General features: G+C 40.2%; 2 annotated features.

Moving 5' to 3' along the window:
* Positions 5,412-5,571: an enhancer, noted in NCBI's record as "active region_1108". NCBI's record gives its function as "activates an Ori minimal core promoter by ATAC-STARR-seq in GM12878 lymphoblastoid cells {active_cell/tissue: GM12878}" and the evidence as "EXISTENCE:reporter gene assay evidence [ECO:0000049][PMID:35858748]".
* Positions 11,622-11,731: an enhancer, noted in NCBI's record as "active region_1109". NCBI's record gives its function as "activates an Ori minimal core promoter by ATAC-STARR-seq in GM12878 lymphoblastoid cells {active_cell/tissue: GM12878}" and the evidence as "EXISTENCE:reporter gene assay evidence [ECO:0000049][PMID:35858748]".

Consider the following 12,146-nt stretch of genomic DNA (forward strand, 5'->3'; position numbering starts at 1 on the left):
TTACTGCTCTACTTACTGATCTCTCTTCCCCTACTGGACAGTGAGCATCTTGAGGGCAGAGAAAACATCTTCTCTATCTCTGCATCCCCAGGCTCTAAGACAGTGCCTGGTCTACACTAAATACTTAATGCAATAGTTATTGGTCCCCCATCTCATCTGTAACATGAAAGCACTTAGGCTGAACCATCTCTAAAATCATTTTTAAGTCTTCTTAAGCAAATAAGGCAAAGAAAATATTCTTTTCTCAATCCCCCCAACCCCACCCCCACCCTTCTGGAAGCATTGCCCAAGAAGATGCAAACACATTTGCCTTTTCTGGGATGATGTTGAAGTTGTCTCTCAGGGAGTAGATGCCTTAGGAAGTCCATATTGAGCAATTTATATTGGAGAAAAGATTTACCACAAAATATCACAGTTCAGATCAGATTTAATAGACCCATAAATGGCTGCTTAACAAGGACATTTGGTTACTGTTACATTAAGTTTCCTAAGGGACTTTGTTCTGTTCTACCAAAAGCCTGCAAAGAGCTATAAAGCACAAGCCTTCCAAATTTGATAAAAGAAAATTCAGTTCTTTTTGGAAATTGTTATTCTTAAGTGACAGTATGAAAACAAGCCTCAAATGTTTTCTTTTCCAGGCACTTCCTTCATGTATTTTGGAGAAAGTTTGGCCTAACTTACAAGGAAACCCCTTAATTGTCCCTTAAAAGTAGAATTGCGTCATTGTGGATAAGACATGGTGTTCAAATAGCTCCCTGGGGGCTGAACTGTTGGAAACTCAGCAGGATTTTAATTGTAAGCAGACAATTTGTTTTGGATTGTATGCAGAGCATGAAAATGTAACTGCTATAGGATCTAACAACATATAAGGGGATTAAAGTCTGGTGTTTCTCCACTGCTTTACTTCTTGGTTCCAGCCATCTCTGAGTGATGAACTTGTCCTCTAAGGTTATTCTGGGTCCTTTTGAAAATCTGAAATATATTACTTACTAGATCCTGAGCACTTTGAAAGCAGTGCCAGTCTTACTCCCTCCTATATGGCCAGTGCCTAACGTTGTGCCTGGATCATCTGTGCCCAATCAATTTAGTATATTTCAGCAACTTTAAGACATACTTCTTTCTATAGTTTAAAAACTCTAAAATGGGAATGCCTCATAAAGTTGATTAATCAGCTTCTCCTTTCTCAGTGGTACATGAAATCATAATGCATATTGCAGTTGATGATATCTTAGCTTCTGCGAAATGTGGAATGCTGAAAGCCTACGGTGAGCCAGATTCTGTGTCAAGTCCTTTAATGCATTATTCATTACACCATAGGATAATAACTCCCTATGGTAGGTATTATTATCTCCATTTGAGAGATAAGGCTCAGAGTAGCATAGTCAATAGCCCAACCTCACAATTTCTGCTTGGAAAAATGAACTCAAAGTCTGCTACCAAGGCCCATAATCTTTCTATCAGATTGTGCTGTCTCCCAGCGGAAACTTTAGATAAATATATTTTAGAATCAATATGTTAAAATCTAGGATCCTTCATTACAGTTTTGATTTCATTTATCCTGGTGATCAACTCAAGCAATAAATGCCATCCCAATGGGCTCTCAAAAGTGGTCAACATATATTAACCAGTTTGTGTTCTTAGTGACAGAGTGACAGAAACCCATCTTAAACCAAATAAAGCAAATGTAGAATGCACTGGAAGTATCCATGGGTATCTCACAGTTCCAAGGCTGGGTGAAGGTTGGATATAGTTGGGGCTCAGGAACAACTGAAATCTGACAGCTGGCAGGTTGACCATGTTGACAGGACAATATCTTATTTCTGCTTCTATGTACAGCTTCATTCTTCTCTTTTGCTGTAGGCTTATGTTTCACACAAATCAAATCCATGGCTCTTGACAGCTTCAGAGAGCTGTATCTTAGAGCTTCAGCTATAGGAAACAGGTTGATACAACTCTTTCTAACCCAAACCTAAAAACCCCAAGGAACCCACTCATTGGCCCAGGGTCCAAGTCTATATACCCCTGGACCAAGCAATGAGGCCTCAGCTGTAGTCACACTGCATTAAGGTGGTCAATCTTACAGTAACTATGTGAAGGGAGGAGGGGGAAAGAAGGGCAAGTCTCAGAAAACAACAGTAGTAGGCAAAAGTCCCTGAATGTCTGTTTTTTGAAGCCACTAGGAATGTCTGGAAGCCATGTTTATAGATCAGCAAAGAAAGGAAAAGTATTTCCATCTGTGGAGGCTGGTGAGAAATGGAATTTAAGATAGGCCTTAAGGATGGTTAGGATTTGGCTATGTGGAGATGGGAGGAGGGAACTTGAAAATAGCATGACAAATAGTCATGATAACCACCCAAGGAAATATGTGCATAATTATAAATTAAAATCAGTGGTAAGGAGGAGATATATATAAGTTAGGGGCAAGAAGACTTGACTTTGTCTGAGGGATTAGGGACAGCTGTCTTGAATAAGTGACATTGAACAGGCAATCACAAGGTGAAGACCAGAGATGCTGGAAAGAGCAACTCTAGGCAGAAGGAAGACATGTGACAAAGATCCTGAGGTTGAGGGACCATAGCAAGACGGTGGCTCTGAAAGGACCAACCTACTTCTAGTCTTTCTGGGTCTCAGTTGAAGACCACAAGACCCCTTTGTGCTATCCCAATCAGGTAATTTACCTGCTTACAGCTCTTCTCTTACTCCCTACCTACCACCTACTGCAGCACTTCCCAACTGCCCTAGCATGCACTGCCCTGCCACAGGGGGCTTACAGTCGCTTAAGATACCAGTCTTCTCCCTGGGGCCAAGCATCCTTCTCCATTTACTCCGGTGTACCCTACAAAACCAAAAATACAACAATTTTCTATGTGTACCATAGTGGTTCATTTTATGTGTGAACTTGACTGGGCTAAGGGATGCCCCAAAAGCTGGTAAAACATGATTTCTTGGTATGTTAGTGAGTTTTATTTTTGTTTTGTTTTGTTTTGTTTTGTTTTTAGACGGAGTTTCACTATTGTTGCCCAGGCTGGAGTGCAATGACGCTATCTTGGCTCACTGCAACCTCTGCCTCCTGGGTTCAAGCAATTCTCCTGCCTCAGACTCCCGAGTAGCTGGGATTACAGGCATGTGCCACCATGCCTGGTTAATTCTGTATTTTTAGTAGAGATAGGGTTTCTCCATGTTGGTCAGGCTGGTCTCAAACTCCTGACCTCAGGTAATCTGCCTGTCTTGGCCTCCCAAAGTGGAGGGTTCTTCCAGAAAAGATTAGCAGTTGAATAGTAGACTGAGTAAAAAAGATGTCCCCTCACCAGTGTGGGTGGCACAATCTAATCCCTTGAGGGTCCAAATAGAACAAAAAGATGGAGGAAGAACAAATTTTCTTTTCCTTCTTGAGCCGGAACATCCATCTTCTCCTACCCATGAACATTGAAGCTTTCAGTTCTCAGGCCTTCAGACTCTGGGATGTGGACCAGTGAGGGCACGCTCTCTCCTCCAATTCCATCCCCATTCCCTGGGATGGTTCTCAGGCCTTCAGCTTTGGGCTAGGAGTTATCACATCAGCTCCCTTGGTTCAGGCGTTCAGACTTGAACTGAAGTACTGAATTACACTACCAGCTTTTTTCAGTCCAGCTGGCAGACGATATATCTTAGGACTTCTCAGCTTCCGTAACTACATGAGCTGGTTCCCCTATGAAATATCCTCTTCTATCTATCTATCTATCTATCTATCTATCTATCTATCTATCTATCTATCATCTATCTTCTACTGGTTCTGCTTCTCTGGAGAACCTAATACATGTACCATGATGTGATAAAAGCTGAGAATCACTGAAGAAAATAAAACTCAAATACCTAGTTTACAACTTAGGTTTCCTCTTTAATTTCACTTCCAGGCATATTCACCACAATCTTTTAGTTCACCTTCCTAATGTAAGAGAAGTATATGAAACTTGATGATGACCTAGTATAATGTACCTTTCACCCACCTTCTGTACTTGCTTTGAGATTGACATTTCTAGGTGCCTCACAAACTAATTCCTGGTGATACAGACCTTTGTCTACACTCTCCTCTTTTCTATGCACAACAGCCATAACAAATTTCTTTCATATTTTTCTCCCAGAACGCCCACCACAACATCCCCATCAAACAAAATTATTTTACACTTCTGTACCTTTGTACTTATTCCCCCTTCTTGGAATGCCCTGATCCAAAGCCCTTGGAGCCCTAGTGCTGAGGAATATTAATAAATATCATGAAAAAATAAATATTATTGTATTTGTGAACAAAGAAGATTAGGCCCTAGGTTGAACAGGGTTAAATGGTGCCTTCACCACAGAATTTCTCAGAGCTATAGACAGGGTACGTTGCAGTGTGAATTTCTAGGAAGGGTATTTGGTATCCTGGGTTTCTCCAAACTACTTAACCACAAAGTCATTGTCGGTAGAACATCTGTGGGAGTAGAAATGCTCCCAAGGTCACATAGATGAGAATATGTGGATATGTGGGATTTGAATTTAGGATGGAAAGAAGTAGAGAAGAAAAAGGAGAAAGAGAAGCAGACAGCAAAGGCAGACGAGAAAAAGGAAGAAGAGAAAGATGAAGATGCCTCTCCAAAATCTGGAAATTTGCCAAGTTGTCCCTATCTATAAGTAATTATTTTCTTCCTTGGCAGAGTCCCCCAGGGTTGGGCTGTATGTGGAGGGTGAAAAATACGCAAACAAAGCCTGTCCTACTGCCAATCAGAGGCAGGCCTTGTTAGTAACCATCCTAGTGGGTGAGGAGTGAGTCTCTGCTTTCCTGTCAAGTTCCCAGCTGCAGGAAGGATTGCCGGCACTTACAACTCGGCTGTGATGATGCCTTTTGCAGCACCTTTCCTTCCTAATCTCAAACAATAGCCCTTCTTGCACTGATCAGAGTTCACTTAAAGAATAAGATTTAAAAAGCAGGTGACCGTTGGCATTATTACTTGATTATTTTACCAGAATTGTGTTTGCCACCAAGTTGAAATTAGTGTTTTAACCACTAGAACCAATAATATATTAATTAATGTTATTAGTCATGATTACCAAATATTAAGCATCTTCTATGTATCAGGAACAGTGCAAGGTAATGTGCTTAGTGAGTATTCAAACAATGGTAGCAAAATTTTTATAAGTGTGCTTTCTTTGTCCTCATAACTGTATGACCTGCTTTACCAACTTGGGGTTCAATTAATGTCACATTATTATTATTTAAAATTAAGATGAGCTTAGCTCAGGCTCCCCTCTCTTTTTGCTTCCTCCTTTTAAATTGCTTTCTTAATCCAAAAGCCCAGTACTGTTTGTAACACCCCTGTCATCAGAAGACTGATAAGGTTCATAAATTTTAAAAGGAGAGCTTTATTTTTCATAGTGTTGCAGCCTACAGGGTGGACACTCTGACAGGCTGAGAAGTGTAGCCTCTGGTCAGAAGCCAGAAACAGGCACCTTGAGAGAGAGGCAACGGGAACAGGAATTTATGCTGAGCAGAGTGACCAAATACACATATTTAATAAGCTGTTGGAGGAGTCCTAAATACTTATGAAAGGAGAAGTGTGTGCATAGCAAGTAAGCTTCATGCTTCCCCAGGGAGCCCATGTTAAAAAGGAAATGGTTGTGTTTGCATGATCTGAGGGTGGAATTTTCAGCCCTCTGACATTAAAAGGTGAAAAAGAGGATATGAAAAACCTTACTGCGCATTCTCCGTAGACTGGCCAGAACCACTCTATGGTTCTCTTATCATGCCAAATATAAGGGGCAGTGTAATGCAGTTGGTTATCAGTGATGGAGTCTTTTAAAAGCGCTGGTTTCTGCTTAGCCCTTAGAAAAGAAACCCTAATGGCAGTTAGCAAGGGAGGGCATATAATGAGGTGTGCCTGACCTCCCATCCCAAGTCATGTCCAAAAACTCAGTTTTCAAGGTTTCTCTGGGGTTTACTTGGCCAAACAATGGTCCTTTCAGTCAGTTGAGGGGCTTAGAATCTTATTTTTATTCTTAGTCCTCACAGGGAAGTTAGGAGAGTCTGGTCTGTCTATGAGTGGCTCTATTTTCAGTAACTTTAGCTTCTGACACTATTACATGAGGTCATCATCACAGTCTGGTCCTTTCTAGTTATTTTCATTCTCACTTTCTGCCTCAGTGATATCCAGCTTAGTCCCATTCAAAGGTGCAGGAGATCTTTTAAATAAGGACAATACAACTTTCCCAGTGTTATTCTTGGCCAAAGGTGCTCCACACAGATGCTCCCAACTATCCTCAAATCATGCCCACCAGCAGAATCACAGGCCACATATGTGGTTGAAATGAATCTTCTTTTGTGACCATCTAAGTGCTGGTATTAAACCTGTATCATCAGTTCAGAAATGTCCTCATAGGTAGATCCTGTTAGGAAACCTCTGTGTCCTTTGTGCCAGTAGACTTCAGCTGGGGCCATCTGTAATTATTGGAAAGAGTGTAATAAATTTGAGAATCCAAAGAAAAGTCCAGATCTCAAGTCTTTCATGCCCAGGACCATTTGGGTTTCTATGCAAATTTGCCTACTTCTATCCAAGTGATCCTCTCAGCATAGCAAGGCAGGCAGCCTGTCTAAGCAATAGAAGATGATTCTTACAGAATTCCTTCCAGTTGTGGGTCCCCACTGCCTTATGTTTGCAACTTAGAAGGGCCATCAAGTGAAGGCACTTTTCTCAGAACAAAGAAGAAATGACAGTTTATTTTTAAAAATCTATTTTGTATCCACCTAATCAGGTACTCCACTATAGTTAGACTTCTATCCTTTGTCTGGCTTACTGGCTCTTTCTCTTTTTCTAATGCTCTAAATGTGAGTTCATAACCCTCTGCTTTTTTTTCTTTCACTTAGCAACTGAATCCCAGCTCCTAGCATCGAATGTGACTCTACAAGTCTCATTCCCTTCCCTGAGCTCTGTTGTGTACCACCCTCCTGGAGTCTGTCACTTAGATGGTACCTGTATTAATCCATTTTTGCATTACTATAAAAGCCTCTATAGTCTCTATCTGAGACTCTAGTAATTTGTAAAGAAAATAGGTTAATTGGCTCATGGTTCTGCAGGCTGTACAGGAACCCTGGTACTAGCATCTGCCTGTGATGAGGGCCCCAGGAAGCTTACAGTCATGGCAGAAGGCAAAGGGGAAAGCAGCACATCTCCTGGGTAGAGAGGTAGGAAAGAGAGAAAGGGGAGGTGTCACGCTCTTTTAAACAATCAGATCTTGGTGAACTCAGAGTGAGAACTCATTCATTACTGTGACAATGGCACCAAACCATCCTGACGGATTCACCCCTATGGCCCAAATACCTCCCACCTCCAAGACCAGGGATCATACTTCAACATGAGATTTAGAGGAGACACATATCCAAACCATATCAGTACCCAATACACTTTTATTGAATACATTCCTTATCTCTAAATGCCAAAGAATGTCTTCCATTTGTATACCCCTCTTTCATCAGAAACTAAGCCTGTCTAAAACAGCTTTTCTTCCAATAGATATCGACTCTTTCCAAGTATAGTCAGTGGTGCCACCAATTTCTCAACCACATTGCAAGTCTGGAGGAGCATCTTGGTCAATTCCTCCCTTCCACCTACTCATCTACTCTGGCCAGTTTCCTTATCTGTAAAGTGGGGAGAATATCTACCTCCTAGGACTCTTGTTTAGACTAAATGTGTTAACATGTAAAAAGCACCAGAACAATACCTAATATATAGAAGCCAATACATGATAACTATTATTATTTTTATATTTAGAAACCAAAATTACTACATATGGTGTGACATGGAACTTGTTATAGACACCCTGAAGATATAGGATGGATCCCCACCCAAAATGTGGTTTGCACAAGAGTGATGGCATCACACATGCCCCAAGAGGGAATGAAAAGGTTTGTTACTCATATAATGAGGCTTTCTTGGGAGGGCAGATTACCTTCAGGCAGGTAAGAAAGTGGCTTGAGAGAGAAGGAAAAGGAGACTTGGGGTTTATATGGTGGCTGGGGTGTGGCTAAGGTGAGGGTTCCCATGCATGGTTTGAGTTTCCCACTGTGGCAAAGCAGGGGTTACTGGTCTTTCTTACCAGCTTGCCCAGATGTGAGAAAAAGGAGAAGAGGGAGGATAAGGCTTAAAAGCTGTCAGCAGTGTTAAAGTTTATGAAAGGCCATTGTTTTGGACTGAGCTTCTGCACGGTTCCAACAGACCAGACCAAACCAGAAAGGACGCATTCATGTAAGGTGCCATGCAATCAAACTAGACTCTGAAATAGAGCAGTTTAAACAACAAAACAGGAGAATCATAGCAACCAACCAGAAGGAGCCATTTACCTGAGCTGCATAATGGAGTCCCTCTAATTTAATCCTATAAGAAAATAACTGTGAAAGGACCAATTCTCTTTTCATTCTCTTTTCCTGCTTTCTTCAGTCTTTTTCTGCCCATAAAACTAACCCCCTCTGCTCAGTTCATCAAAATTCTACATTCTAGAATCATAAATAGAAGCCGATTCAATCTTTAAATTTGTTGCAATTTTGTCTTTTGACAACAATCAAACATTACAAAAAAGTAGAGTCAGACTCTTCGTCACAGAAATAGTAGGGCAGATCACAACCAATCAGCTACAAGATATTTTCAATTTTTCATTTGAATTGTCTTTAATATGCATTTCCTCCTTCCCCTTCCCATAATCTTGATTGAAGATCCTAATCATTTCAACTATAAGTAACACAAACTCTCTGGCTTCTCTATCTCTATTTGTCCTTTCTTCTCTTGCCCTTCCTGCTCTCAACCATCTTTTTGCCAACGTAATAACTCAAAGATGAGTTTTCCTTCTCTCTGCAAAGTTTAAAGTGGTTTCCCATTTGATGGTTTTGAAACACACTCCAAAAATTCTTTGACACCCTCCCCAGAAAGAGGCAAGGTCTATGTCCCCTACCCTTAATTCTGTTTTAACCAATGAGGTACAGCAGAAGGAATGTATGTGATTTTCCAAACTTGGTCAGTAAAGGCCATGTAGGTCTACCTGATTTTCTTAGGATTCTTCCCCTGGGGGAAGCCAGATACCCCCTAAGAGGTCTGACTCCCTGAGATCCCCATGTTATACCGGGTATGTGCAGGGTCTCCTGTTGATAGCCTCAGCTGAGCTCCCAGCCGGGAGCCAGCATCAACTACTGCCATGTGAATGAGCCATCTTGGGCATCCAGCCCAATCAGCCTTTAGATGGTTATAACCTCAGCAGGTATCTGACTGCAATCTAGGAGAGACCCAAAGCAAAAACTTCATAGTAAGCCCTTCCCAAAGTCTAACCTACAACACTAAGTAAGTTAAATGGTTACTGCTTTACATTTCTAGTTTTAGGTAATTCATTATGCAACATTATAACTGAAACACCCTTATTTAGGCATGAAAAAATTAGGACTGCCAACATATATATAGTTTTTTAATTATAGAGAAAAATAAAGTGAACACATGTCCAAGATCAATCTAATTCATGAATGAAAAAGCACATTTGTAAAGATCATCTACAAAAACGTGTGAGACACTGGTGTTTATATGCACTGAAGAAGGAATGCTGGATGTGTCTTTATAATAGAAAAATTCATGTTCCTTTGGGTATACACCAAGTAATAGGATTGCTAGGTTGAATGGTATCTATATTTAGGTCTTTGAGGAGTTGCCATACTGTCTTCCACAATGGTTGAACTAATTTACACTCCCACCAACAGTGTATAAGTGTTCCTTTTTCTCCACAAACTTGCTAGCATGTTATTTTTTGACTTTTTAATAATAGCCATTTTTATGGGTATGAGATGGTATCCCATTGTGGTTTTGATTTGTATTTCTCTAATGATAAGTGATGTTGAGCTTTTTTCCATATGATTGTTGGCCACATGTATGGCATGTCTTCTTTTGAAAAGTGTCTGTTCATGTCCTTTGCCCACTTTTTAATAGGGTTGTTTGGGATCTTTTTCTTGTAAATTTGTTTAAGGTTTTTATAGATGCTGGATATTAGACTTTTGTCAGATGCATAGTTTGCAAACATTTTCTCCTATTCAGTAGGCTGTCTGTTCACTCTGTTGATAGTTTCCTTTGCTGTACAAAAGCCCTTTAGTTTAATAGATCCTACTTGTCACACATGTATGCATATGTTCACTATAGCACTATTCACAATGGCAAAGACATGGAGTCAACTTAAATGACCATCAATGGTAGACTGAATAAAGAAAATATAGTACATATACACCATGGAATCCTATGCAGCCATAAAAAAGGAGATAATGTCCTTTGCAGGAACATGGGTGGAGCTGGAAGCTGTTATTCTTAGCAAACTAACACAGGTACAGAAAACCAAACATTGCATGTTCTCATTTATAAGTGGGCTCTAAATGATGAGAACACATGGGCACATAGAGGGGAACAACACACACTAGGACCTATCAGAGGGTAAAGGGTGGGAGGAGGGAGAGGATCAGGAAAAATAACTAATGGATACTGGGTTTAATATCTGGGTGATGAAATAATCAGATAATAAACCCCCATGACTCAAGTTTACATATATAACAAACCTGCACATGTATCTCTGAACTTAAAATAAAAGTAAAAAAAAAAGTTGGAATAAAATTGCTGGGTTAAACACAAAACTTGTCAATGTCCTACAGGGAAATAAAATCTTAATCTTTGCAGTTACTTTCTTCCAAATAAAATTATTTGCACATGTGCTGGAAAAAATCTATAAGTTATGTTTCTTCACAGACTCTGGACCTTAAACAACAGAAAACACTGAGTCAAACAATAGTGCACTTCCACAGAGAATTAAATAATCCTTGGGTATGGCTATTACACAATGCACTCCAATGTAATATTGAAAGAACACACAGCTAACAATTTGTCTAAGTTTTTAATATTTTTAATAGGATCTACACTAGATCTCACCTTTTCATAAAGGTCTTTTAAAGGTTGAAAACAACCCAGGTATAAGTGGTGAAGCAGTGGAGATTCAATCTCCGTGACAGACAGTGAGAAAGATTTTTAAGGGAGGAGTCTATCCTAGCACCTTCAAATGACATCATGACATCACCCGTCTCCTCCTTGTATTGTGACTGTCATTTAGCAAAATTTGTGGTTTTCAAATATTTTGGGGGTTAGAGAACCAACTGGGTATCTTTCCACTGGAAATAATGGGACTCTTAATAGTGAAGAAGACTGTGTTTGGGAAATGTCCTGAGAATTGGATTTTCAGATTCCATCACAGAGTGATGTATTTAATCTAAGCAGGAAATATTTGCATGGAAAAGCAGAGCATGCACAGGACTAGAAATCCCTTTTTCAAGCTACCACTTAGTAGCTGAATCACTTCATCTCCCTAAAAGCTGGTTTCCTGAGCTGCGAAATGGGGCCAATAGTACTTTTCTTACTCAGAGAGAGCTTTGGAAATGGGACAGCTCTGTTCACAAGTAAAGGATTACTATTATTACCTATGTGAAAACACAAATGGTAGAAAAGGAAAAAATTCATTCAAGCAGCTTGCTGTGTCAATGCAGCCCCGCCCAACTGGCTAGACCAAAAATTTTTAGTGTAACTGACTACTACCCATGGAATTGCCTGAGTGAACATGTTGTTTTGACATCTACTGACAGGGGTAGCTCCAGAAATCCCCTCTTTACCCCAGCAATGACTCATAAAAAGGGCTCAGAAAAAAAACAAGAATGAGCTGGGGAAGTCTCCTGAGGCTTTAGCAGACTGGGTCAAAAATTGAGCCTCCAGGAAGGAAGGAAGTGCTAAGGCAGGCTTTGGATTTGCACAGAAGTGAACTGAAACATTGGCTCTGCCACTGTGTGGCCCTGTGATCAGGAAAGTGCCATACTCTCTCTGAGTTTAGTGTCCCCATCCAAAAAAATGAAGAAAATAAAACTCATTTCAGTGAATTGATGGGAAATTTGAAATGGTGACAGAAAAATATCAGAGATTTCTTCATACGGTAGGTAATTAAGGAAAAACCCAAATTCCCATCGGTGGCAGAATGAATAAATGCATGTTGGTATATTCACATAAGAGAATATAATCAGCAGTAAAAGAAATAAAGTTCAGCTCTATGTGCCAGAGTAACTGAATCTTTACAATGTAATA

This window comes from Homo sapiens, chromosome 1 (assembly GCF_000001405.40).
Source record: "Homo sapiens chromosome 1, GRCh38.p14 Primary Assembly".
NCBI classification, from domain to species: domain Eukaryota; kingdom Metazoa; phylum Chordata; class Mammalia; order Primates; family Hominidae; genus Homo; species Homo sapiens.